The sequence below is a fragment of the Homo sapiens genome, chromosome 19 (genome assembly GCF_000001405.40).
Source record: "Homo sapiens chromosome 19, GRCh38.p14 Primary Assembly".
Lineage (NCBI taxonomy): Eukaryota > Metazoa > Chordata > Mammalia > Primates > Hominidae > Homo > Homo sapiens.
Genome location: NC_000019.10, coordinates 54,216,278 through 54,242,880, shown reverse-complemented (window position 1 = coordinate 54,242,880; position 26,603 = coordinate 54,216,278). Strand labels below are relative to the sequence as shown.

The following is a 26,603-nucleotide window of genomic DNA, read 5'->3' as shown; positions in this document are numbered from 1 at the left end:
TGAGGATGAGACAACCCCATGACAAGAAGGACCCAGCCTCCGAGCGGCCACACCCTGTGTGTCTCTCTGTCCTGCCAGCACTGAGGGCTCATCCCTCTGCAGAGCCCGGGGTCACCAGGAGGAGACGCCATGACCCCCACCCTCGCAGCCCTGCTCTGCCTAGGTGAGATTTCAAGATGGGGAGGGGGAGATCTGAGTCTTGGAGGAACCCCACCCCACACACAAGCCCTGGTCCATCAGGAGACCTCAAAAGCTCAGGAGGCACCAGGGCGGGGAGGACCTGCTCAGGCTTCAGGGCAAATGCCTCACAGGGAATTCTCTTCCAGGGCTGAGTCTGGGCCCCAGGACCCACGTGCAGGCAGGTGAGTCTGTCCCCAGCTGTCCCAGGTCCCTCATCCTTACTAGGGACAAGGGCCACACATGGGCAGCTGGGGGAGGAGACAGCAGTTCTGGGTGGGGAGGAGACAGTAGTTCTGGGTGACTGATGGGGATGATGAGGAAGTCCTGGGGCTGGGAGCTGGGATCTGAGCGTGGGGATGTCTTGGGATCCAGCCTCTGATTTCCATCTAGGGCCCTTCCCCAAACCCACCCTCTGGGCTGAGCCAGGCTCTGTGATCAGCTGGGGGAGCCCCGTGACCATCTGGTGTCAGGGGAGCCTGGAGGCCCAGGAGTACCGACTGGATAAAGAGGGAAGCCCAGAGCCCTGGGACAGAAATAACCCACTGGAACCCAAGAACAAGGCCAGATTCTCCATCCCATCCATAACAGAGCACCATGCGGGGAGATACCGCTGCCACTATTACAGCTCTGCAGGCTGGTCAGAGCCCAGCGACCCCCTGGAGCTGGTGATGACAGGTGAGAGGACACTCTGGGGTCCCAGCCCCAGGCTCTGCCCTCAGGAAGGGGGTCGGCTCTCAGGGGTGTCTCCCTCTCACAGCCCAGCCCTGGGGATGATGTGGGAGGTGGGAGCCCCATTTAACATGGTGCCTCTTTCTCTCCTAGGAGCCTATAGCAAACCCACCCTCTCAGCCCTGCCCAGCCCTGTGGTGGCCTCAGGGGGGAATATGACCCTCCAATGTGGCTCACAGAAGGGATATCACCATTTTGTTCTGATGAAGGAAGGAGAACACCAGCTCCCCCGGACCCTGGACTCACAGCAGCTCCACAGTGGGGGGTTCCAGGCCCTGTTCCCTGTGGGCCCCGTGAACCCCAGCCACAGGTGGAGGTTCACATGCTATTACTATTATATGAACACCCCCCGGGTGTGGTCCCACCCCAGTGACCCCCTGGAGATTCTGCCCTCAGGTGAGGGAGCCACGGCCTTGTCTAACACACTTTCGGGGCAGCTGACAGGTTGTGGGGAGTTTGGCTGGTGACTGAATCTGGAAAGGACCCAGAGTGATGTGTTGAAGGACGGGCTGAAGGCATGAGGGAGACCCCATGGGGAGGCTCTGACATGGGAGGAGGAGCCCTCAGCCACGCTCACCTGAACGGGGAGGACTCAGGAAGGCATCGGTGTGTTTGCTGTGAGGTCCCAGCTCTCAGGGAGAGGAGGAAAGATCAGGCACAGTGGCCAGGGCTAGGGAGACCCCACTCCTCTGAAATGACTCCAAGACAGCCCCGGGTGAGAAGGAGGCCCTGGGGTCAGAGACTCAGAGCATGAGAGACAGTGAGACCTGCAGGGCCAGGACGGGAGAAGGAAGGGGCGTGGGAGGAACCAGCCCTCTCAGTCCTGGCTCCTCTTTCCCTCCAGGCGTGTCTAGGAAGCCCTCCCTCCTGACCCTGCAGGGCCCTGTCCTGGCCCCTGGGCAGAGCCTGACCCTCCAGTGTGGCTCTGATGTCGGCTACGACAGATTTGTTCTGTATAAGGAGGGGGAACGTGACTTCCTCCAGCGCCCTGGCCAGCAGCCCCAGGCTGGGCTCTCCCAGGCCAACTTCACCCTGGGCCCTGTGAGCCCCTCCCACGGGGGCCAGTACAGGTGCTATGGTGCACACAACCTCTCCTCCGAGTGGTCGGCCCCCAGCGACCCCCTGAACATCCTGATGGCAGGTGAGGAGCCCAGCGGGTTCAGTCAGGGACCCAGGCTCTGCACAGGCCCTGCCGGGGGAGCCCAGGTGGTGATGGCCGGGATGAGGGGTGGGGGTCCCAAGGGAGGGAGAGACAGACAGAGACAGGGGATGGGCGGGGAGGCGAGACTCAGAGAAAACAGAGACAGAGACACTGAGGGTCCCAGGGAGAGGCCTGGGGAGGTGTCAGCTCAGAGCAAGGTGGGGCAGCCCCTCACCCATCCTTCTTCTCTCCAGGACAGATCTATGACACCGTCTCCCTGTCAGCACAGCCGGGCCCCACAGTGGCCTCAGGAGAGAACGTGACCCTGCTGTGTCAGTCATGGTGGCAGTTTGACACTTTCCTTCTGACCAAAGAAGGGGCAGCCCATCCCCCACTGCGTCTGAGATCAATGTACGGAGCTCATAAGTACCAGGCTGAATTCCCCATGAGTCCTGTGACCTCAGCCCACGCGGGGACCTACAGGTGCTACGGCTCATACAGCTCCAACCCCCACCTGCTGTCTTTCCCCAGTGAGCCCCTGGAACTCATGGTCTCAGGTGAGGGCGCTGACCCCGTCCTCTCTGAGCTCAAAGGCTCAGCTCAGGCCCAGGCCCCCAGGAGAGCTCTCGGCTGGGATGGACCGAGGGAGGCTGTGAGGGAGGCTTAGCCAGAGGGCACCCAGCCCTCAGAGGGGAGGAGGCCAACAGGGGTTCTCCTAGGCGTGGCCACCCGTTCTCCCCTGCCTGGCATGCAGAAGGCACCAGGTGGGCAGAGAGATGGTTCCAGGGAATCCACTGGGCGGAAGCAGGAGAGTGGGAGTGGAAGGGTGCACTCCATGGACGGCCCCCGCCCCTCACCCGCCTCCCGTGCTCCTTCCAGGACACTCTGGAGGCTCCAGCCTCCCACCCACAGGGCCGCCCTCCACACCTGGTGAGTCACTGAGGCCTCGTGGGGAGCGCCGCCTCCCCCAGGGCAGTCTGAGTCTCCCAAAGGATCCCACTCCCCTCCCCTCAAGGACGGGCTTGTGTCCCAGGGGCTCTGAGGCTGGGCTGGTGAAGAGTGGGGGGTTCAAGGCAGAGAGAGATGTTGGGGCCCAGCCAGGAGGAGGAGCCGGGCTGATGTGGGGAGCAAGGTAGCCCCAGGCTTCACCTCCCTGTCCTGACCCAGGAGGTCCTGAGGACCAGCCCCTCAACCCCCCAGGGTCAGGCCAGTGACTCCCTGGAGCTCGTGGTCTCAGGTGAGGGCCCTGACCCTGTCCTCTCTGAGCTCAAATGCTCAGCTCAGGCTCTGCACCCAGGAGAGCTCTGGGACACTAGGAAAGAAGGGAGTGAAGGTGGAGAATCCAGCCCATGGGAGGGAGGAAATGGCTCAGGAGCAGCGTTGAAATTCATAGAACACAGGAAAACTGAAATAGTTTCATGAGGAGACTGGAGGGAGCCCTGCTGCAGGAGAGGGAGGGTTTATTGAGGAACTCCGTAAAAGCCACGTCATGAGGCCTGGAAGAATAAGAACGCAGAGCCCAGGGGAGAGGCTGGCTCAGGGCTCTCCCCTTCTGTTTTGATTCTCAGGAGGAGCTGAGACCCTCACCCCATCACAAAACAAGTCAGACAGTTATGGGGCGGGCACAGAGGGTCAGGTTCTGTCAATGGCGGATGGGGGGTGCCCTGGGTTGGGCATCCAGGGGTCCTGGGTGAAGTTGATCTGCCCGGACCTCTGTGACCTCTTTGCCCACCATCCCCAGCCTCACACGCCAAGGATTACACAGTGGAGAATCTCATCCGCATGGGCATGGCAGGCTTGGTCCTGGTGTTCCTCGGGATTCTGTTATTTGAGGCTCAGCACAGCCAGAGAAACCCCCAAGATGCAGCCGGGAGGTGAACAGCGGAGAGGACAATGCACCCTTCAGCGTGGTGGAGCCTCAGGGACAGATCTGATGATCCCAGAAGGCTCTGGAGGACAATCTAGGACCTCCAGAGGGGGGTGAGATTTCAGGCCACACACTGTGGAAGGTAATCATGTCTGATCACAAATTTTGGGTCTCCACCTTACTTCCAATCTATGTTGTGAATGCCCAGTTGAGACCCACGGAAAAGAGCTCATGGGTGAGTGTGAAGTGCTTCTCTGTCTTAAGTTCCCAGAGATCCTTGCCTCTTGGAGGCCAGCAAACACTAACTCTTGAGGAATTCATGACAATATCATCTGATTCCTCCTTCCCAGCTTGTATGGCAGTCTCCCACCCTCATGTGTTCAATCTGATGATCCCAGGAGGTTCTGGAACAAAATCTACAGCCTATGCTTTCTGGACTATCTGTCGATCATTCCTGAAGAGAGGGATCAATGTTGAGGTATTCATTTCACATGATGAAAATGACAATATCAAATGTCAGAGGTAGTAGGGCTCACGTAGAAATCCAATACATCCATGGTAGGACTGCAAATTACTTGAATCAATTTGGGGAAAATATCAGAAGTACCCAGTGAAAAAGAAGAAACATGGCCGGGCGCGGTGGCTCATGCCTGTAATCCCAGCACTTTGGGAGGCTGAGGCGGGCGGACACGAGTTCAGGAATTCGAGTCCAGCTTGGCCAACATAGTGAAACCCCGTCTCTACTAAAAATACAAAACATTAGCTGGGCGTGGTGGCAGGTGCCTGTAATTTCAGCTACTCAGGAGGCTGAGGCAGGAGAATTGCTTGAACCTGGGAGACGGAAGCAAGTTGGCGCCAGTTGGTGCAGTGAGCCAAGGTGGCGCCATTGCACTCCGGCCCAGGTGACAGTACGAGACTTCATCTAAAAAAAAAAGAAAAAAAAAAAGAAGAGACACACAGCTATGAACACAAAGCACAGAACCTAGAGGAAAATGTGTTCATATGGTGAGGTTTCATTCACAACAACATGGACAGGACTGCTGCTCATATTACACAACAGCCATAAAACCCAAAAATACATCTAAAACAAAGGAAACATATGTGGTTCAATTCCACCAAGGGATACTACGAGGCCGTGCAGAGGCACAGACAAAATCTACAAAGAGCAATGCAAACCAACCTTCCATCATGATGTTGAGTAAAGAAACAAGAGTATAAAAAGAAGGTGTGCACATGAAGCTCAAAAAGAGGCAGCATTTATTTTCTAGGGAGGCAAACTCAAAATAGACCCCATAAATAAAGGAAATAGATTATGTAATCCAAAATAGTGCTTGCACATCAGGAAATACTGGAGGGTTCTGTTCAACATGGAAACTCCAAGGACCACTGGACGCGGGCACTGGAACGCTGACTTTCATTTGGTGACCCTCAATCCACTTCGAGTTATTGGTAAATCACATAATTTTAATTTGATACGGAATAATCATACATGTTTCTTGGGAGCATGTGGTAATCTGATTCATCCATGCAATGTGTAACGATCCAATAAAGGTTCCCAGGACATTCATCACCCTGAACATTTGTTATTATGGTTATTATTTTGAGACAGAGTCTTGCACTGTCGCCCAGCTGGCGTGCAGTGGCAGGATCTTGGCTCACTGCAAACTCTGCCTCCCGGGTTCAAGCAGTTTTCCTGTCTCAGCCTCCTGAGTAGCTAGGATTACAGGCATGCACCATCACACCTCGCTAATTTTTGTATTTTTATTACAGACGGGGTTTCACCATGTTGCTCTGGCTGGTCTCGAACTCCTGACCTAAGGTGATCCACCAGCGTCGGCTTTCCATAGTGCTGGGATTACAGGTGTGAGCCACTATGCCTGGCCAACTTTTATAATTTCTGTGCTGGGAACATTCCAAATCTTCATTTCTCACTCATGTGGAAAATACAATAATCTGTTGCTAACTATGGTCACCCTACTGAGCTCTCAGGCCCTGGAACTTACTCCTTCTCTCCACCTGTATTTCTGCACCCGTCCACCAACCTCTCTCCATCCCTGTCCTCCACACTCCCTTGCCAGCCTCTGTTGACAACCATTCTACTCTCTGCCATCACAAGGCCCACTTTTGTAGCTTCCGCGTGAGTGAGAACATGCTCCTCTTTCTGGGCCTGGCTTATTTCACTGAACATAATGTCTTCCAGATTCATCTGTGTTGCTGAACATGGTACAATTTCCTTCTTTTTATGCCTGAATATTATTTCATTGTGTATATAGACCACATGTTCCTTATCCATTCATCCATTGATGGACATAGGTTGATTCCATATCTTGGCTATTGTGAATACTGCTGCAATAAACATGGCAATGCAGACACCTCTTTGATATACTGATTTTCTTTCTTTTGGAAATATACCCATCTGTGCGATTACTGGATGGTGTGGTTGTTCTACTTTCAGTTTCTTGAGGAACCTCCATGCTGTTTTCCATATTGGCTGCACCAACTTGCGTTCCCACCAAGGTAGAAGGGTTTCTTTTCTCCATATCCTTGACAGCATCTGTTAATTTTTGTCTTAGAGATAACAGCCATTTTAACCAGGGAATAGCATATCTCTGTTTTTGTACCTATCTATCTTTATTTGTCATGCCATTTAGGGAGCTGAGATTGAAGTGTGGTGGTGAATGCCACAGGCTGCACTGGCCACTAAATGGCAAACCAGGTGGTTCTTGACCTGTCAGAGCAATGATCTCACAGGTTGACTTTGTGTTTCATTCACAACATGACACCCACCTGCCTGATCAACCTCACCTGAGTCCACGCAGACAATGAGCCACTTACCCAGGTAAGAATGGGCCTCAGAAAGGGAAACACCTTGTCCAGTACTTCATGACATGCACTTGACATTTTTAAGTGGCCATATAACTTTCTGATTTCATTATGTTGAAACCACCAGAACTGGGATGAAGGACACCAACATGGCCTTGGGGTTATTTCAGACATGAGGTTCAACCCAATCAGGTGGTGGTTTAGGATGATCACACAGGGCTTGGTTATTCCAGAGATGAGGTTCCATCCAATCAGGCGGTGGTTTAGGGATCACACAGGGCTTGGTTATTCCAGAAATGAGGTTCCACCCAATCAGGTGGTGGTTTAGGGATCACACAGGGCTTGGTTATTTCAGAGATGAGGCTCAACCCAATCAGGTGGTGTTTTAGGGATCACACTGGGATTGGTACCAAATGTGACAATGCTCCATGTGCCTGATCACCTCCTGGACCCCTCTGAGGTGGAAATCAGAGAAAGGCATTTGTGTGCAGCTGCTGTTCATTCCGGATTCCTTTCCTACATGGGAACTTACATGATGCTTGACCCTGAAGAACAGAACTGGCTGAAAAAGAATTCAGGAATGAAATCCCATTTATAATAGCCACAAACAATAAAAGACCTGCTAATAAATTTAACTGACAAGGTAAAAACCTCTACAAATAAAATTATAAAGCTCTAAGAAAAATTAAAGAGGACACGAAAAAACTGGAAAGATACCTCATGTTCACACGTTGAAACAATAAATGTTTACAAAAAGGACCATAGGACCCAAAGCTATCTACAGATTCATTGTAATTCCTATCAACATACAAGTGTCTTTCTTCACTGAAATATAAAAAATTCTAAAATTAATATAGAGCCATAAAATACCCAAAATAGCCAACGCAATGTAGAGAAAAAAAAACAAAGCTGGAGACATCACACTACCTGACTTCAAAATACACTACAAAGCTATAGTAACCAAAACAGTAAGGCACTGGCTTAAAAACAAACACATAGACAAATGGAACAGAACAAAGAACCTAGAAATAAATCCACAAATTGACAGCCAACTGATTATCAACAAACATGCCAAGAACATATATTGGGTAAAGGACAGTTTCTTCAATAAATGCTGCTAGCAAAACTGCATATCCATATGCAAAAAAACAAAACTCAACCTCTGTCTCTCACGATATACAAAAATCTACTCAAGACAGAATAAGACCCAAAGTAAGACCTGAAACTATGAAACTATAGAAGAAAACACAGAGGAAACGCTTCAAGACATTGGTCTAAGCAAACATTCTATCAGTAAGACCTCAAAAGCATAGGAAACGAATTCAAAAATAGACAAATGGGTGTATCAAACTAAAAAGCTTCTGCAGAGCTCAGGAAACAACCAACGGTGTTATGACCTACAGAGGCAGGGAGAAACATTTGTTACCTATTCCTCTAACAAGGGTTTGATCATCAGAATATATGAGGAACTCAAACAGCTCAGAGCCTTTGATGGAGAAATGAAGAGGTGCTGCTACGTAGAGAAATAAAGAAGTCAGAGGGAGGAAGTTTGGGAGGAACAAACCATGCTTTCCAGGTATTGGGAGGCTCTGTTTCTCTCTCTGACTTAGTTAACTGTTTTTAATACATCTCCTTCAGTCTGCTTCCCACATGGGGTCATTGCTCCTGTGATGGCCCTATTGGTTCCTCTTGTCAACCAAGTCAGAGAATGGAAGAGCTTTCATTCCCTGAGCATCTTCTTCTTCACACACAATGAACAAATCCACACCATTCTACCACAGAGTCCTTTTTATCAATGTCTCCTGTCCAACGCTACAGTCCAAGCTCAGCTGGTTTCCTCAGCTCAGCACTTCATGGATTATGACAGCATAACTCCAATCCCTGCCTCTATCTCTGGGCTGGTTTCCCATTATTACTGCAGAAGCCCCCATTCTGTGTGAACAGACACAGTGACACACCAGACACCCCCTCCAGCCTGGCCCCTGGAGGATCTGAATGGAGATTGGGACTCCGCAGGGTTGCCCAGGAACATGGTTTCACACATTCTCCTGTAGGAAATCCATAACCACTATCACCACGTGGTCATTTCCAGCATCTTGGGATGTAGAGGATGCCGGCTGGTCCCTGCAGTGGCAGATCCTGTGGCAACTCTGGAAATCCTGTGAAGAACTTACGGAGGCCCTGTGAAGATCCTATGGAGATCCAGTCGAGGTCCTATGAAGATCCACGGAGAACCTATGGATGTCCTGCAAAGGTCCTATGGAGAATCTATTGAGATTCTATGGAGGTCCTGTGGGGGTTCTATTGAGATCCTATGGAGGTCCTGTGGGGGTTCTATTGAGATCCTATGGAGGTCCTGTGAGGGTTCTATTGAGATCCTATGGAGGTCCTGTGGGGGTTCTATTGAGATCCTATGGAGGTCCTGTGGGGGTTCTATTGAGATCCTATGGAGGTCCTGTGGGGGTTCTATTGAGATTCTATGGAGGTCCTGTGGATGTCCTATTGAGATCCTATGGAGGTCCTGTGGGGGTTCTATTGAGATCCTATGGAGGTCCTGTGGGGGTTCTATTGAGATCCTATGGAGGTCCTGTGGGGGTTCTACTGAGATCCTATGGAGGTCCTGTGAGGGTTCTATTGAGATCCTATGGAGGTCCTGTGGGGGTTCTACTGAGATCCTATGGAGGTCCTGTGAGGGTTCTATTGAGATCCTATGGAGGTCCTGTGGGGGTTCTATTGAGATCCTATGGAGGTCCTGTGGGGGTTCTACTGAGATCCTATGGAGGTCCTGTGAGGGTTCTATTGAGATCCTATAGAGGTCTTGTGGGGGTTCTATTGAGATCCTATGGAGGTCCTGTGGAGGTTCTATGGACAACCTATGGAGAACCTGTGGAGAACCTATTGAGATCTTATGGAGGTCCTGTGGAGGGCCCATGGAGATTCTATAGAGATCTTGCTGATCCTATGGAGATTCGAGCACTTTTCCATGCATGAGGTTGGGAAATAGACGTGGGGTTTCAGGATAGGAAGTCTAAGGCCAGCACTATGTTTTCGTAGGAAACTCAAAGTAAATAGTTTCATGTTCCAGAAGAAGCCCAAATTGAGATATATCTGGGGACCTAAGACAGAGGGGTGCTGTGCACTCACCCAAAGGCTCTTTTTCTTGGGTCTCAACCGTGCATTCACAAAACTGATTTGGAGCAAGATGGAGACCCCACATTAGTGATCAGACAGAAAGAGCTTCCACTGTGCATGGCCTGAAATCTCATTTCCCACCCAGGTGTTTCTCTCACATGGAGGAAAAGACATAAGCCATTGGAAGAGGCTCAGATAATTCTGCCCACCTCAGATCCCAGGTAATGACTCATTGTGGCCGGAAGAAGGTGGATCATAAAATCCCTCTACCCTAGGAGGAGTGCAGAGAACAATCCTGGACTGTGATCCTAGACAAATACCATTAGAGATATGCAAATTTGGAATAGGGACAGAAAACCCGTCCCCATCAAACAAACCTACTCAATACAATGCAGCTGCCATGAGGAGCGGGGACAGAAACACGGAGACAAACCCACCCTCAAGGCCCAGGCACACAGAAACTGCCGGAGACTGAGGCTGGAGGAGGACAGGAGAAACGTCTGCTCTCGACCAGGAGCTTCTCCTGAGAAGCTAGCAGGAGCGCCCACAGCTGGGGTTAGGAGATCTAAGGATCCGCTGATGACTGGGTTAATGCCGTGAGCTTCAGCCAGCTCTGTGTCAGCAGCCCCAGTGCGTGCTGGAGGGGCCCGTGAGTGTCGTGGCCATGGAGCAAGAAAAAAAGGACATGCTGCCAGGCGCAGTGACTCACGCCTGTATTCCCAGCACTTTGGGAGGCCGAGTTGGGCAGATTATCTGACGTCAGGAGTTCAAGACCAGCCTGGCCAATATGGCGAAACCCCGTCCCTACTGCAAATACAAAAACTAGCCAGGTGTGGTGGAAGGTGCCTGTAATCCCAGCTACTCGGGAGGCTGAGGCAGGAGAATCAGGGGACAGAGGTTGCAGTGAGCCGAGATCGCGCCACTGCACTCCAGCCTGGGCGACAGAGTGAGACTCCGTCTCTAAATAAAATAAAATAAAAGAATCAAAGAAAAAAGGACATGCATGGAACCAACACCAGCGACTCCCTCTTACCAAGGACCAAGCAGCCACCACTGTCGCTGAGAGTCTCACCTGTGACCAGCAGAGCGCTCTGGATGTGATGCCTTTGAGTGGACCAGCGAGCGAGTCATCTGGTGGCCGCTTGACGACATGGCGCGCATTCCACCAGGAGGGGGCAGCAAATCCTCCTGACCGGGCTGGATGCTGGCGCTCAGATGGGTTCTGCTGGGCTCACTGTGGCTCTCCGCCAGGAATCAGAGGCTCCCGCCTGTTTAAATGGAGCATCTCATGACTTAATCTCAGATCGAGGGACCTGCACGCCCATGAAATCAGTGGGGCAATGAGAACAGGGCCACGTGATATCCTGGGGATGATCTGAGATAGGATGCGTGCCATGTAGTGGTTGGGTGCTGCTGGGGCTGACAGAGCATCGGAATGGCCTCTTACAGTAGATGCAAGAAACAGTTTGTGGATGAGACTCTGCACTTTAGGTGCTCTCTGATGGTGTAACAGACATAGATATAAAACAGAGATATAGATAGCTGTAGACAATATACATATTCATATGAATGAACACTAAATGATGCTATGTCTTTTCCTTCTAATATTTTTGTTCTTATTTTTCTATAATGGGCTCTGCAAATGAAAATGCTATGTCTTTTCAGAGGTAGAACACACGGGCTGGGAAAGGAAAGGAGCGTGTCATCAACAGCCCCCATCACCACCCCTCCAGGTGACTCACTGGGCAGATAAGCACGTCCTGGGCCTGCACTTTTAGGTGATTTGGGGTTAGACGATCTGCCTGGTGGGAAATTACTACCAGGGAAGAAACTAAGGGTTACCCTACGCCAAAAATGATCACTTTGCCCTTTTCTCTTTTTTTTGGCTAACTTTAGGATATCTATTTTGTAAAAAATTAGTTGCTTTTTATACAACTTTACAAAGTTTTTAATGTTTCTTTGGCATTGGAATATAATGGAATTTTACAACTGTATAAAAAAGTTCGTTTGCCTAAGAAACAGTATTTACCGTGTGTACCTAGTTGACTGACAAAATTCTCTACCATCCAGCACCCTAATTAATTGATGAAATAGACTATTTAATATTACAAGATTCCCCAAAAGAAAGGAGGAGAAAGATACACACACACACACACACACACACACACACACACACCCTCCCTTCTTGGCTCAGAACACAGTATCACGGCCCTATCTGCAGGCAACCTGGAATTACCAAATACAATTCAGTGATTAAAAAAAAAAAAAAAAAACCTTTCAGTGATGACACAATACTTATAAGTCCCACTGAAGTACTGCTTTAGTTTAACTATACATAAGAAATTATTTAACCTTCTGCTATTCCAAATATATTTAATCCTCATGTCTTAAGATAAGGCTTCCTCCCCCGAAAACTAACTGCATTTTATCTCTGAAATTAAACAGAAAAACAAACAAAAAACAAAAACCCAGTGCTGATGGCAAACATACAGCCAATTCACTTCTTCGTTCTTCGCAAAGACTGAAATCAGTTTCCAGTACCATGAAGAGCTAGAAATTCACCTGTTTTCAAAGACTTGTTTGTAGACTATGCAGCAGCTTTGTTGTCTTTCTTTCAGAGAGCAGTACTATCAATTCAGACTATTTAGGGGCCAAAGGCTGTGCTTTTCCTATATTCAAAATCTGCAAACTCCCGACCCCTGGAACCTCCTCTGAATCCGCCGCGAAATCCTCAAGGGGTGGTCAAGGTACCACTTCTGCCACCACGCCCTCTGCCACCATGGAAACCAAGACCTCCCTCTGCCTCTGTATCCCCCATGGCCACGGTTTGGACAAAGTGGGATTCCAAATGTTTCAGCATTTAATCTTCTTCCTTCAGCCCAGGTTGGCCTCCGTTCTCTATTGTCATCACCAGAAATATTATCAAAGGAGGATTTAGTTTGGTCATAAAAGCAATTAGGTCCAAGTGCATCTTCTTCATCAGCATGTCCTTCACTGTTTTGGGTATCAACTCCTGAGTCTCCTTTATCTTCACCATTTACAGGCTTCTCCTCTTTCTCAAGTTTATCTTCTTTTAATTTAAGTTTATTATGAAACTCTCTGCCCATCTCTTCCTTGTTGAATTGGGCATTTGCACTTTCAAAGTCAAACTCTTTCTCTCACGCCTGTAATCCCAGCAATTTGGGAGGCCGAGGCGGGCGGATCACGAGGTCAGGAGATCGAGATCACGGTGAAACCCCGTCTCTACTGAAAATACAAAAAAATTAGCCTGACGTGGTGGCGGGCGCCTGTAGTCCCAGCTACTGGGGAGGCTGAGGCAGGAGAATGGCGTGAACCCGGGAGGCGGAGCTTGCAGTGAGCCGAGATCGGGCCACTGCACCCCAGCCTGAGCGACCGAGCGAGAGTCCGTCTCCAAAAAAAAAAAAAAAAATTCTCAAATTTCATTGGCCCATCTCGCCGAATACCAAATCTTCCCCTGCCACCCCATGACCCCCACGCCCTCTCCTTGGCGCTGAAGGAGCACCTGGAGCTGCTTGTCTCTTGTTTCATTTCTGAGTTGCTCATTTTCTGGCCTTGGAACGTTGTGCGCTTCAGCTCACCTCTGCTCCTGATTCTCTATTGCTTTTTGGCTGGTAGATGGCAAAGGCCTGGTTGATACAGGACTCCTTCTCCCAACAGGTGCTGGAGCAGGTCCGTGGGCCCAGGCGGTCTGCACTCCTTGTTCCATGGTTGGGCTTCTTCTCAAAGGGTCGAACTGAGCGCTTGAAGGACCTTGAGATAATTGTGTTTTTAGGGATCTTGTATCCTGTGTAAAGGCAGAATCAACCACTCTACTTTGGGGCAAGCTACCACTGTTTGATATTTCTGTTCCAAAGGAGGTCAAAGAGCTTCCAGCAACACCAACAGCACCAAACTGCTGCCCCACTAAGGAACTTGGACTGAACTGGCTGGATGTGTCCATAAGAACCCATGGACTGGAATGAAGAAGTCGATGAGCCTAGTGAGAACTGAATGATAGCTAGAGTTTCCATGTCATTCTTACTTTCTCAAATATTTGGTAGAAATCAACAGTGTACCCATTTAGGCCAGATTTCCCTATGGAAAGATTTCTGAGTGTAGGTTGAATTTCTTTTCTTTTTTTTTTTTTTTTTTCAGAGTCTCCCTCTGTCGCCTAGGCTGGAATGCAGTGGTGTGATCTCACCTCACTGCAACCTCCGCCTCCTGGGTTCAAACAGATCTCTTGCCTCACCCTCCTGAGTAGCTGGGATTACAGGCATGCGCCACCTCACTTGGCTAATTTTTGTATTGTTAGTAGAGGTGGGATTTCACCATGTCGGCCAGACAGGTCTTGAATTCCTGACCTCAGGTAATCTGCCCGCCTCAGCCTCCCAAGGTGCTGGAATTAAAGGTGTGAGCCACCAATCCCAGCCAGTTGAATTTCTTTAATAAAAATAGGAAATGTTACACTATATATTTGTTCTTGAGTAAATTTTGGTAGTTTGTATACTTCAAGATATTTTCTATTAAATGTGAGTTGTAAAACATCTTAGCATAGATTCCTAGTTTTGCTTCACTAGTCCTTTTATGTCTGTAGGATGGGTAGTGGTGCCTCTTTCCATCTTGATTTGGTAATTGTTGTGCTCCCTCTCTCTCTCTCACTCTCTTACTTTACATCCTACAAACGTTCATATGTTATAATTTCATTGACATTTTTCGTTAATGTTCTATCAATTTAATGTTGTGTGATTCTATAACCCATGAATATTTGTTTTTGCTTTTGCGATGGAGTCTTACTCTCTCACCCAGGCTGGAGTGCAGTGGCACAATCTCGGCTCACTGCAACTTCCACCTCCTGGGTTCAAGTGAATCTCCCGTCTCAGCCTCCCGAGTCATTGAAAATACAGGTGCATGCCACCACACCCAGCTAATTTTTGCATTCTCAGTAGAGACAGCATTTCACCATGTTGGCCAGGCTGGTCTCAAAGTCCTGACCTCAAGTGATCCACCTGCCTCAGCCTCCCAAAGTGCTGGGATTACAGGCATGAGCCACCACATCCAGCCTATAACCCATGAATATTTAGAATGTTATTTGTTTCCAAAGTATTGCTTTTTCTCTAAATGTCTTCTTATTGTTGGCTGCTAATTTAATTGAACTTCTAATCAGGAAACGTTACCTGTAGTAACAGTTTGGATGCTTACTTTGCTGTGTAAAAATGATAGAGACGGCTGGGCACAGTGGCTCTCACCTGTAATCCCACCACTTTGGGAAGCTAAGGCGGGTAGATCAAGAAGTCAGGAGACCGAGACCATCTGGGCCAATATGGTGAAATCCCGTCTCTACTAAAAATACAAAAAAATTAGCTGGGTGTGGCGGCGCACGCCTGTAATTCTAGCTACTCACAAGCCTGAGGCAGGAGAATCGCTTGAACCCGGAAGGTGGAGATTGCCGTGAGCCGAGTTCGTGCCACTGCACTCCAGCCTGGCGACAGAGCTACACTTCGTTTCAAAAAAAAAAAAAAGATAGATATTTCTGATCAATATGTTTTCATAAATAAGTATTCCTGGCCTCGCACAGTGGCTCACACCAGTAATCCCAACACTTTGGAAGGCCAAGGTGGGCAGATCCCGTGAGCCCAGGAGTTTGACACCAGCCTGGGCAACATAGCGAAACCTCGTCTCTACAAAAAAATACATATTAAAAAAATTTAGCCAGGCAAGGTGGCATGATCCTGTAGTCCCAGCTACTCAGGAAATGGTTGTGGCAGAATCACCTAGGCCTCAGGAGGTCGAGGCTGCAGTGAGCTGGGATAGTGCCATTGTACTTCAGATGGAGCAACAGAGAGAGACCTTGTTTCAAAAAAATATATATAAAGAAATATGCATTCCCACTTTGTTGCTATATGTATATTCCAGAAACGTTTCTATACAAATTTACATAATATATAAACAATCGAAACATCATATTTGCGCATGAGATTGAACATTTGTGCCATGCAACCCTCACGAATATTTTGTTCACTTAATCTATCAAAGTCTGATCAATATTTCTTCAAATCCTCCACTGTGTCTCAATTGATGCTTTGTAAATTTTAAGGACATGTGGTTGGTTGAGTGAAAGTGTATAACTTTCTCTTCTTCACAGATTGCTGATTTAAAAGTATGAAATATCCGGGCGTGGTGGCTCACGCCTGTAATCGCAGCACTTTGGGAGGCCGAGGCAGGCGGATCACGAGGTCAGGAGATCGAGACCACGGTGAAACCCCGTCTCTACTAAAAATAGTAAAAAATTAGCCGGGCGTGGTGGCGGACGCCTGTAGTCCCAGCTACTCGGGAGGCTGAGCCAGGAGAATGGTGTGAACCCGGCAGGCGGAGCTTGCAGTGAGCCGAGATCGCGCCACTGCACTCCAGCCTGGGTGACAGAGCGAGGCTCCGTCTCAAAATAAAATAAAATAAATAAATAAATAAATAAAAGTGTGAAATATCATCTATTTTTCTTTTCAAAGGCTGTTTGTGTTAGTATTGGTTTGCTATTGCTGCCATAACAAATTACACGTATTGAGCAGCTTCAGCAACACAAACTCATTATCTCACAGTCTTTTAGGACAAAATCAAGGCCATAACGTGGCTGCATTCCTTTCTGGAGGCTCCAGAGACGCGAATCCATTTCCTTGCTCTTTCAGATTCTTAGTAGAAATGCATATACTTGTATATACACAGATTACAGATAGATCTATGCTTATTCGTTTTTTGTATGTACTGTTGACTTATTCACAGTAGCATCTCATCTTCTCCATTTGGGGTTCATTATTCCACTCCCTGATTTACATTGTTTAGTATTGCTTTCAGAAAGAGCCCAGATGCAAACATGTCTGCAGCCTTGCAGCTCAAGCGATGCCTGCTTCTCTGTCTCTGTCTCTCTCCGTGTGTGTGTGTGTGTGTCTCCCTCTCCCTCTCTCTCTCTGTCTCAATCTCTCTCTGTCTCTCCGTCTCTCTCTGTCTGTCTCAATCTCTCTCTTTCTCTGTTGTTATCATAGTACCTGATAAAAGGACACTGAAAACGCCCTCCTTATTCCTCATAAGGCCACCGCCTGACCTGACGGGTCACGAGTGCCCCGAGTCTCCTTATGTTCTAGGATTTATCCACAGCTGACACTGCAACTCGGTCCTTTAATAATAACTAGGCCAGGTTGCGGTGAGCCGAGATCGCGCCATTGCACTCCAGCCTGGGCAACAAGAGCGAAATTGCATCTCAAAAGATAATAATAATAATAATAATAAATAATTATAATAGTAATAATTAGGCCCAGCACAGGAACTCTCTCCTCACAGTTAAACGCTTGTGGTTGTTTCTCCTGTATCTTCTGGGGCTGCTGTTTGCTCTTTGGAACTCCAGTCCCGATGAACTTGTCATTCATTCAAGGGTAATTTACATTTTCTCTGGTAGTTTTATGATTATTTTAAATTAATGCCTCATGGTTTTCACTTTACCATGATCGAGATATTCAATTTAGTTATAAACTGATGTTTTCTCTTCAGTTCTGTAAAAATTTCAACCATTAGCTCTTCATGCATATCATGAACTAACATCCTTCTTCCTTCTTTCATTCTGAAACCGTGACAGACACGTTCTTTCTTCTCATTCAACTTCGTGTATATATCAATATTTTCTATTGTTCAATTTCTGTTCTTTCCATGATACAGTCTGGAAAATTTCATGAATATTTTATCCCAATGTATATATTTATTATTTCAGCTGTCTTGCCCTGGATTAAATTATGCTTTGATTTTGTTATGTTTGCATAGTAGGTATATATGGTTAGTAAATTGCTTTTTTTTTTGAGACACAGTTTCGCTCCTGTTGTCCCAGCTGAAGTACAGGGGCGCAATCTCAGCACACAGCAGCCTCCATCTTCCAGGTTCAAGAGATTCTCCTGCCTCAGCCTCCCGAGTAGCTGGGATTACAGGCACTCACCACCACGCCCAGATAATTTTTTGTATTTTTAGTAGAGATGGGGTTTCACCATGTCACCCAGGCTGGTCTCGAACTCCTAGCCTCAAGTGATCTGCCCGCCTCCACCTCCCAAAGTGCTGGGATTACAGGCATGAACTACCATGCCCAGACATAAATTCCTTTTTAATGGCGTTAATTTAATATAGTTTTTCACCTTCACGATGTCTGTCTAATGCATTTCAACAACTGTCTATTTTGTCCTCATACGGTTGTCATTCCTGTGGGGCGGCTCCTCCCACGCACCTGGCCTTTCATAAAGGGTTTCTCCCACGGCTGTCCAGGCATCAGCCTGATGAAGGGGATTGTTGCCGCTGCTCCTGCCCCACTCCCCCAAACTCAGTGTCAGCTCAAGATTGTGCCCAGCAGCGATGGGACCAACGCCAGCCTCACACTCACCTGTGGGGCAGACGCCCATGTCTGACCACCGTGGATCGAATCTGTTTCTCACACACAGGGGAGGGGCTGAGCGCTGACCGTGGCCTCCAGTGAGTGAGCAGAGACCCCCCAGCGCCTGTCCACACACACAGGGGAGGGGGAGCCACCGCTTCCAGCCTCACCCAGAGCCCTGACCCCTCCCTGCCTGGGAGGACGTGGGGTTCCTCTTCTGTCCCACATGGAGGTGGGAGCCTCCTCCTCCCTAATGACGCTCGGTGGTCCCAGACACCTGTGGCCACTCAGCATTGAACTCTGCTCATGGAAGGGGATGCGTCTCAATGTGAGGAACTGTTTTTCCTCTTTCTCTGCCTGTGGCTGTGATGATCTGCATATTTCAGACGTATCACAAGGAGAATTTCATGGTATTTGGAGCCGATGTGGGCTCTTGAGTGGGGGCGTCAATCATCCTCCTCGACTGTGGAGCCCAGCACCAGGATCCTCTCCCGTCCCCACCCTCCTGTCTGAACTGGTCTGGAAATTCACCATGGCTGAGCCTCCCATGTCCTGGGCACCACTGACCCCCACAGCCACTGTGATGAGTGGGGTTCATGACAGCAGGCTCAGAGGTGACATTCATGTCCAAAGTCACATAAACCCTAGATGATAATCAGGAATTAAATACAAATCAGCTCACCTTCCCCAGAATCAGATTATAGATTACAATGAAACATATATATATATATTTCTCTTTATCCCCTCTATTTCTCCTTTTTAGACAGGATCTTGCTCTGTCGCCCAGGCTGGAAGGCCAAGGGGTGATCATAGCTCCCTGAAGCCTCCGCCTCCCGGGCCCAAGTGATCCTCCCACCTCAGCCTCCTGAGTAGCTGGGACCACAGGCATGAGCCTCCATGCCCAGCTCACTTTTTTCTTTTCTGTAGAAACAGGGTCACAGTCTGTTTCCCAGGACTGTCTGAAGCTCCTGGCCTCAAGCCATCACCCGCCACAGCCTCCTGAAGTACTGGGATTCCAGGCATGAGCCACCACGGTAGACCCTGCATTTCTCTGTGCTCACTGCCACACGCAGCTCAGCCTGGACTACACAGCCAGGTGTCAGGTGCGTCTCTGCTGATCTGAGTCTGCCTGCAGCATGGACCTGGGTCTTCCCTGAAGCATCTCCAGGGCTGGAGAGACGACTGCCATGGTAAGGACCCCGTAACGCTGAACTGATGGACGAGCTGAAGGAGGGAGGGAGACCCCATGGGGAGGCTCTGAGAGGGAGGAGGAGCCCACGGTCACCCTCGCCTGAAAGGGGCTGACTCAGGAAGGCACCAGGTCTATTTGCGGCTGTGTCCCCGTCCTCAGTGAGATAAAGATAAATCAGGCAGACAGTGGCCCGGGGGCAGGGAGACCCCATTTCTCTCTGAAATGCCTGCAGAGAGCCTGGTGCCTGCCCCCACTTCAGCCCTGGGGAAATCAGAGCCAGGTTCTTGGGGTGGCAGTTCCTCTTCCTGTGGGCTGAGGATGAGACAACCCCATGACAAGAAGGACCCAGCCTCCGAGCGGCCACACCCTGTGTGTCTCTCTGTCCTGCCAGCACTGAGGGCTCATCCCTCTGCAGAGCGCGGGGTCACCGGGAGGAGACGCCATGACGCCCGCCCTCACAGCCCTGCTCTGCCTTGGTGAGATTTCAAGATGGGGAGGGGGAGATCCGAGTCTTGGAGGAACCCCACCCCACACACAAGCCCTGGTCCATCAGGAGACCTCAAAAGCTCAGGAGGCACCCGGGCGGGGACCTGCTCAGGCTTCAGGGCAAATGCCTCACAGGGAACTCTCTTCCAGGGCTGAGTCTGGGCCCCAGGACCCGCATGCAGGCAGGTGAGTCTGTCCCCAGCTGTCCCAGGTCCCTACTCCTCACTGGGACAGGGGGCCACCCATGGGCAGCTGGGGGAGGAGACAGTAGTTCTGGGTGACTGATGGGGATGATGGGGAAGTCCTGGGGCTGGGAGCTGGGATCTGAGCGTGGGGATGTCTTGGGATCCAGCCTCTGATTTCCATCTAGGGCCCTTCCCCAAACCCACCCTCTGGGCTGAGCCAGGCTCTGTGATCAGCTGGGGGAGCCCCGTGACCATCTGGTGTCAGGGGAGCCTGGAGGCCCAGGAGTACCAACTGGATAAAGAGGGAAGCCCAGAGCCCTGGGACAGAAATAACCCACTGGAACCCAAGAACAAGGCCAGATTCTCCATCCCATCCATGACACAGCACCATGCAGGGAGATACCGCTGCCACTATTACAGCTCTGCAGGCTGGTCAGAGCCCAGCGACCCCCTGGAGCTGGTGATGACAGGTGAGAGGACACTCTGGGGTCCCAGCCCCAGGCTCTGCCCTCAGGAAGGGGGTCGGCTCTCAGGGGCGTCTCCCTCTCACAGCCCAGCCCTGGGGATGATGTGGGAGGTGGGAGCCCCATTTAACACGGTGCCTCTTTCTCTCCTAGGATTCTACAACAAACCCACCCTCTCAGCCCTGCCCAGCCCTGTGGTGGCCTCAGGGGGGAATATGACCCTCCGATGTGGCTCACAGAAGGGATATCACCATTTTGTTCTGATGAAGGAAGGAGAACACCAGCTCCCCCGGACCCTGGACTCACAGCAGCTCCACAGTGGGGGGTTCCAGGCCCTGTTCCCTGTGGGCCCCGTGACCCCCAGCCACAGGTGGAGGTTCACATGCTATTACTATTATACAAACACCCCCTGGGTGTGGTCCCACCCCAGTGACCCCCTGGAGATTCTGCCCTCAGGTGAGGGAGCCACGGCCTTGTCTAACACACTTTCGGGGCAGCTGACAGGTTGTGGGGAGTTTGGCTGGTGACTGAATCTGGAAAGGACCCAGAGTGATGTGTTGAAGGACGGGCTGAAGGCATGAGGGAGACCCCATGGGGAGGCTCTGACATGGGAGGAGGAGCCCTTGACCACGTTCACCTGGAAGGGGAGGACTCAGGAAGGCATCGGTGTGTTTGCTGTGAGGTCCCAGCTCTCAGGGAGAGGAGGAAAGATCAGGCACAGTGGCCAGGGCTAGGGAGACCCCACTCCTCTGAAATGACTCCAAGACAGCCCCGGGTGAGAAGGAGGCCCTGGGGTCAGAGACTCAGAGCGTGAGAGACAGTGAGACCTGCAGGGCCAGGACGGGAGAAGGAAGGGGCGTGGGAGGAACCAGCCCTCTCAGTCCTGGCTCCTCTTTCCCTCCAGGCGTGTCTAGGAAGCCCTCCCTCCTGACCCTGCAGGGCCCTGTCCTGGCCCCTGGGCAGAGCCTGACCCTCCAGTGTGGCTCTGATGTCGGCTACGACAGATTTGTTCTGTATAAGGAGGGGGAACGTGACTTCCTCCAGCGCCCTGGCCAGCAGCCCCAGGCTGGGCTCTCCCAGGCCAACTTCACCCTGGGCCCTGTGAGCCGCTCCTACGGGGGCCAGTACAGGTGCTATGGTGCACACAACCTCTCCTCCGAGTGGTCGGCCCCCAGTGACCCCCTGGACATCCTGATCACAGGTGAGGAGCCCAGCGGGTTCAGTCAGGGACCCAGGCTCTGCACAGGCCCTGCCGGGGGAGCCCAGGTGGTGATGGCCGGGATGAGGGGTGGGGGTCCCAAGGGAGGGAGAGACAGACAGAGACAGGGGATGGGGGGAGGGGAGACTCAGAGAAAACAGGGACAGAGACACTGAGGGTCCCAGGGAGAGGCCTGGGGAGGTGTCAGCTCAGAGCAAGGTGGGGCAGCCCCTCACCCATCCTTCTTCTCTCCAGGACAGATCTATGACACCGTCTCCCTGTCAGCACAGCCGGGCCCCACAGTGGCCTCAGGAGAGAACATGACCCTGCTGTGTCAGTCACGGGGGTATTTTGACACTTTCCTTCTGACCAAAGAAGGGGCAGCCCATCCCCCACTGCGTCTGAGATCAATGTACGGAGCTCATAAGTACCAGGCTGAATTCCCCATGAGTCCTGTGACCTCAGCCCACGCGGGGACCTACAGGTGCTACGGCTCACGCAGCTCCAACCCCCACCTGCTGTCTTTCCCCAGTGAGCCCCTGGAACTCATGGTCTCAGGTGAGGGCGCTGACCCCGTCCTCTCTGAGCTCAAAGGCTCAGCTCCGGCCCAGGCCCCCAGGAGAGCTCTCGGCTGGGATGGACCGAGGGAGGCTGTGAGGGAGGCTTAGCCAGAGGGCACCCAGCCCTCAGAGGGGAGGAGGCCAACAGGGGTTCTCCTAGGCGTGGCCACCCGTTCTCCCCTGCCTGGCATGCAGAAGGCACCAGGTGGGCAGAGAGATGGTTCCAGGGAATCCACTGGGCGGAAGCAGGAGAGTGGGAGTGGAAGGGTGCACTCCATGGACGGCCCCCGCCCCTCACCCGCCTCCCGTGCTCCTTCCAGGACACTCTGGAGGCTCCAGCCTCCCACCCACAGGGCCGCCCTCCACACCTGGTGAGTCACTGAGGCCTCTTGGGGAGCGCCGCCTCCCCCAGGGCAGTCTGAGTCTCCCAAAGGATCCCACTCCCCTCCCCTCAAGGACGGGCTTGTGTCCCAGGGGCTCTGAGGCTGGGCTGGTGAGGGGCGGGGGTCGAGGCAGAGGGAGATGTTGGGGCCCAGCCAGGAGGAGGAGCCGGGCTGATGTGGGGGGCAAGACAGCCCCAGCCTTCACCTCCCTGTCCTGACCCAGGAGGTCCTGAGGACCAGCCCCTTAACCCCCCAGGGTCAGGCCCTCAGAATGGTGAGTGAGGGGCTCTGAGTGGGAGATGGGCGGGGTCCAGGGGAGGCAGGGGTGGGTTCTGTCCTAGGTTCAGGCTCCTCTGGAGGTGGTGATGTGGACAGGCCCCTCCCCTGCCTGGGCCTCAGTTTCTCCAAGTGTAAAGGAGAGAGGCCTGTGGGTGGGAAAGTTCCTTTCAGCTCTGACCCCCAGCTGTGACCTCCTGGGAGAGGAGGCCTCCCAGGGAACCTCCCAGACCCGATTCCACAGGGGCCTGTCCCGTCCCACCTGCAGCAGTGACGGTGACCTGGGGCAGGGGAGGGGAGCAGGGCCGTGGTTCAGGACGGTCAGGCTCTTTCCCTGCAGCTCCGGGTCTCGGCTCTGGTGCAGGAACAAGGGCTGCAGGTCAGACTCCCGGGCTCCCTTCCCAGCTCTGCCGCTTCCTCGCTGGAGGCCTGGGGCAGGCGACTCCCTGCTCTGAGCCTCAGTTTGTGCATCTGTGAAATGGGTTGTACGGGTGGCAATTCCATGTTGCACGACTGCTTGTGAGGGTTGGAGGTCACGAAGGAAAGACCTGGCTCGCGCCTGCACACAGTAGGTGCTCACATCAATGACATCATTCCCACTCCTGACGTCCTCATGTCAAGGTCTGGGAAGATACCTGGAGGTTTTGATTGGGGTCTCGGTGGCCTTCGTCCTGCTGCTCTTCCTCCTCCTCTTCCTCCTCCTCCTCCGTCAGCGTCACAGCAAACACAGGACATCTGGTGAGTAGGGAAGCGGGGGACCCATGGGTCGACCGAGGGTGGGCTCAGGGCACCAGCCAGAGGGAACCCAAACACACAGGGGTGTCAGTTTAGAAAACCGGTTCCAGGGGCACGTAATTTCAATACGCATTTACAAACTTCAGTATTCATGGGAGTTTTTTTCTATCTCATAAAATATTTGGAACATCCATGCAGGAATATTTTTAGTTTTCCTTCTTTCCCTCAAGTTGCATGTGTAGAATGGGAGTTCTAATGTTCCCAGGGCTGAGACTCTGTCCATCTTCACCCAGACCAGAGAAAGACTGATTTCCAGCGTCCTGCAGGGGCTGCGGAGACAGAGCCCAAGGACAGGGGCCTGCTGAGGAGGTAATTCTGCCCCAAAGACCACAGACTCCCACCCACCACAGCCCATACACTGCCCCTCACACTCCCATGTCCTCCTCCAGGTCCAGCCCAGCTGCTGACGTCCAGGAAGAAAACCTCTGTAAGAGGAAGAGAGGGGACAAATGGGGGTGCTGGAGAGACAGGAGTCCCAAAATTTCAGTAGCAACAGGGAGGGGCTGGGAAGGGTCTGGGGCTCCGTGGAAGATGGTCTTGCCCCACACTGTGGGACCTCCCTGCATTCGGTGGCCCCATCTGGGAGCAGGGCAGGGGGCCAGCAGGACTGAGAGGTCTCAGAGAACCAGGAGACGAACCCCTTGCTCTGCCCCAGCAGATGCTGCTGTGAAGGACACACAGTCTGAGGACAGGGTGGAGCTGGACAGTCAGGTGAGATCCCGCCCCGTCCCAGGCACCAAAGGCCTCCTGGTGCCAGATCTAATCCTGCAGGACTTCTCTGTCCTCCTTCCCCCGGCTCTCAGCATCGTCACGGTGGACCCCTCCTTGTCCAGCATGCTGCCTCCCGCCTGCTGTGACCTCACTCTCTTCTGCTGTCCTGGGACCTCGTGGGCCTCCTCCCGGGTCCCCTTCCTGCTCCTCATCCTCTGTTTGGCCGTCTGGTTGTTAGAGCTCTCCCCAGGCCTCAGGAGGATGACGAATAAATGAACCACCTCCGTCCCCTGGGCTCCTCTTCATTCATTCATCCAGCGAGTGTTCCCAGGGAGCTCACTGTGGATGGGGCTCCCCATGGGAGCTGCAGACACAGCAGGGAGCAAAGCCGCCCCCGCCTCCTGAGCTCACCTCACGGTGGGAGACAAAATGCAAATAAATGCATCGTGTCCAGGAGTGCAACGTGCTGTAAGGAACATACACCAGGGAAAGGGCAGAGAGTGTGGGGCAGTGGGGCCAGTCTGAATGGAAGGGGAGGGCTGTCTGCTCAGCTGTCATCTGAGAAGCCTGGACAGAGTGGGGCACATGATCCTCTGATGGACGAGCCCCTGCAGGCAGAGGAAACAGCCGTGCAAAGGCCCCCAGGCAGCAGCGAGCTCTTGCAGGAAGGCCTGTGAGGCTGCAGCCAAATGGGCAAGGTCAGAGTGAGGAGCAGAGGCCAGAACCACAGGGAGGGAGCGGCCAGACCCTCCACGGCCTTAGGGCGTCCCTGAGATTCCATCAGGAAAGGGATGTAATCGGATCACCCCGGGAACAGTGAGGAAAATTGACTCCAGGAGGTCAGGGGGACTCAAGGACACCCCCCACCACTGTCTCTCTCCAGCAGAGCCCACACGATGAAGACCCCCAGGCAGTGACGTATGCCCCGGTGAAACACTCCAGTCCTAGGAGAGAAATGGCCTCTCCTCCCTCCTCACTGTCTGGGGAATTCCTGGACACAAAGGACAGACAGGTGGAAGAGGACAGGCAGATGGACACTGAGGTGAGTCCTTTCCTCTCCAGGCCCCCAGGCCTCCCCCACCCCCACCACGTTCCTTACCTCTCACTCTCCCCCGCTGCAGGCTGCTGCATCTGAAGCCTCCCAGGATGTGACCTACGCCCAGCTGCACAGCTTGACCCTTAGACGGAAGGCAACTGAGCCTCCTCCATCCCAGGAAGGGGAACCTCCAGCTGAGCCCAGCATCTACGCCACTCTGGCCATCCACTAGCCCGGGGGGTACGCAGACCCCACACTCAGCAGAAGGAGACTCAGGACTGCTGAAGGCACGGGAGCTGCCCCCAGTGGACACCAGTGAACCCCAGTCAGCCTGGACCCCTAACACAGACCATGAGGAGACGCTGGGAACTTGTGGGACTCACCTGACTCAAAGATGACTAATATCGTCCCATTTTGGAAATAAAGCAACAGACTTCTCAACAATCAATGAGTTAATAACAAAAAAACAAAAAACAAAAACAGACGTAAAGGCCGGGTGTGGTACTCAGGAGGCTGAGTGGGGAGGATTCCTTGAACACAAGAAGTTAAGGCTGCTGAGGCTGCAGTGAGCTATGACTGTGCCACTGCACTCCAGCCTGTGTGACAGAGCGAGACCTTGTCTCTAAAAAAAAAAACAGTGAATGTTTTAAACTGAATGATAATGTAAATATTATACATCGAACTTATGACATGGGAAAATTAAGAAGCATAAATAGGCCGGGCGCGGTGGCTCACGCCTATAATCTCAGCACTTTGGGAGGCTGATGCGGGCGGATCATGAGGTCAGGAGATCGAGACCATCCTGGCTAACACGGTGAAACCCCGTCTCTACTAAAAATACAAAAAAATTAGCCGGGCGTGGTGGCGAGTGCCTATAGTCCCAGCTACTCAGGAGGCTGAGGCAGGAGAATGGCATGAGCCCGGGAGGCAGAGCTTGCAGTGAGCTGAGATCGCACCACTGCACTCCAGCCTGGGCGACAGAGTGAGATTCCGTCTCGAAAAAAAAAAAAAAAGAAAGAAAAAAAATAAAAAAGAAGCATAACCAGG

At 51.8% G+C, this 26,603-nt stretch overlaps 2 protein-coding genes, 2 long non-coding RNA genes and 1 pseudogene across 18 annotated transcripts, besides 3 other annotated features; 3 read left to right on the top strand and 2 right to left on the bottom strand.

The window, feature by feature from the left end:
- The first annotated feature begins 90 nt into the window (after positions 1-90).
- On the top strand, positions 91-6,291 carry LILRA6 (leukocyte immunoglobulin like receptor A6). 2 transcript variants are annotated; one of them, NR_104098.2, is made up of 10 exons: positions 91-163; positions 327-362; positions 571-855; positions 1,003-1,219; positions 1,754-2,050; positions 2,305-2,607; positions 2,930-2,980; positions 3,792-4,059; positions 4,268-4,395; positions 5,688-6,291. NR_104098.2 is itself a non-coding variant. In NM_024318.5 (8 exons), exons 1-8 carry the CDS (start codon positions 130-132, stop codon positions 3,926-3,928), a joined length of 1,446 nt encoding a protein of 481 aa, NP_077294.3. In that variant the 5' UTR covers positions 91-129; the 3' UTR covers positions 3,929-6,291. The 2 variants fall into 2 exon arrangements, 1 of the variants encoding a protein (NP_077294.3); NM_024318.5 differs by having other exon boundaries at positions 1,003-1,305; positions 3,792-6,291.
- On the bottom strand, positions 6,261-23,986 carry LOC124904768 (uncharacterized). Its single transcript, XR_007067339.1, has 3 exons — positions 23,277-23,986; positions 10,945-11,140; positions 6,261-7,302 (listed from the first exon to the last, which is right to left on the bottom strand). It is a non-coding gene; the product is annotated as an uncharacterized LOC124904768 (long non-coding RNA).
- On the top strand, positions 8,904-16,071 carry LOC107985279 (uncharacterized). Of its 2 annotated transcripts, XR_001754003.2 has the most exons (4): positions 8,910-8,994; positions 10,018-10,093; positions 11,538-11,650; positions 16,015-16,071. It is a non-coding gene; the product is annotated as an uncharacterized LOC107985279 (long non-coding RNA). The 2 variants fall into 2 exon arrangements; XR_001754004.2 differs by lacking the exon at positions 10,018-10,093 and having other exon boundaries at positions 8,904-8,994.
- Positions 10,042-10,795: an enhancer, noted in NCBI's record as "H3K4me1 hESC enhancer chr19:54735962-54736715 (GRCh37/hg19 assembly coordinates)". NCBI's record gives its function as "activates a minimal SCP1, AML or CMV promoter by ChIP-STARR-seq in naive H9 embryonic stem cells {active_cell/tissue: H9 hESC(naive)}" and the evidence as "EXISTENCE:reporter gene assay evidence [ECO:0000049][PMID:30033119]".
- Positions 12,338-13,892, bottom strand: LOC100421130 (LSM14A, SCD6 homolog A (S. cerevisiae) pseudogene; annotated as a pseudogene).
- On the top strand, positions 19,874-26,603 carry LILRB3 (leukocyte immunoglobulin like receptor B3). 13 transcript variants are annotated; one of them, NR_135496.2, is made up of 14 exons: positions 19,874-19,938; positions 20,099-20,134; positions 20,319-20,603; positions 20,751-20,967; positions 21,095-21,263; positions 21,502-21,798; positions 22,051-22,353; positions 22,676-22,726; positions 23,636-23,752; positions 24,043-24,118; positions 24,199-24,236; positions 24,468-24,520; positions 25,407-25,562; positions 25,642-26,603. NR_135496.2 is itself a non-coding variant. In NM_001320960.2 (14 exons), the coding sequence occupies exons 1-14, from the start codon at positions 19,905-19,907 to the stop codon at positions 25,786-25,788; spliced, it is 1,947 nt and encodes a 648-aa protein (NP_001307889.1). In that variant the 5' UTR covers positions 19,874-19,904; the 3' UTR covers positions 25,789-26,603. The 13 variants fall into 13 exon arrangements, 9 of the variants coding, with proteins under 9 accessions (NP_001307889.1, XP_011524683.1, XP_011524684.1 ...); NM_001320960.2 differs by lacking the exon at positions 21,095-21,263 and adding an exon at positions 22,962-23,012 and having other exon boundaries at positions 20,751-21,053; XM_011526381.3 differs by lacking the exon at positions 21,095-21,263 and adding an exon at positions 22,962-23,012 and having other exon boundaries at positions 20,751-21,053; positions 25,404-25,562.
- Positions 24,324-25,159: an enhancer, noted in NCBI's record as "H3K4me1 hESC enhancer chr19:54721591-54722426 (GRCh37/hg19 assembly coordinates)". NCBI's record gives its function as "activates a minimal SCP1, AML or CMV promoter by ChIP-STARR-seq in naive H9 embryonic stem cells {active_cell/tissue: H9 hESC(naive)}" and the evidence as "EXISTENCE:reporter gene assay evidence [ECO:0000049][PMID:30033119]".
- Positions 25,160-25,996: an enhancer, noted in NCBI's record as "H3K4me1 hESC enhancer chr19:54720754-54721590 (GRCh37/hg19 assembly coordinates)". NCBI's record gives its function as "activates a minimal SCP1, AML or CMV promoter by ChIP-STARR-seq in primed H9 embryonic stem cells {active_cell/tissue: H9 hESC(primed)}" and the evidence as "EXISTENCE:reporter gene assay evidence [ECO:0000049][PMID:30033119]".

Bases quoted from the DNA above. Each gene is read 5' to 3' on its own strand.
- LILRA6 (NM_024318.5), top strand. From the start codon at position 130: ATGACCCCCACCCTCGCAGCCCTGCTCTGCCTAG. The intron at 363-570 runs GTGAGTCTGTCC...ATTTCCATCTAG, and splicing joins CAGGACCCACGTGCAGGCAG to GGCCCTTCCCCAAACCCACC. The intron at 1,306-1,753 runs GTGAGGGAGCCA...CTTTCCCTCCAG, and splicing joins CCTGGAGATTCTGCCCTCAG to GCGTGTCTAGGAAGCCCTCC.
- LILRB3 (XM_047438108.1), top strand. From the start codon at position 19,905: ATGACGCCCGCCCTCACAGCCCTGCTCTGCCTTG. The intron at 19,939-20,098 runs GTGAGATTTCAA...ACTCTCTTCCAG, and splicing joins CACAGCCCTGCTCTGCCTTG to GGCTGAGTCTGGGCCCCAGG. The intron at 22,354-22,675 runs GTGAGGGCGCTG...TGCTCCTTCCAG, and splicing joins CCTGGAACTCATGGTCTCAG to GACACTCTGGAGGCTCCAGC.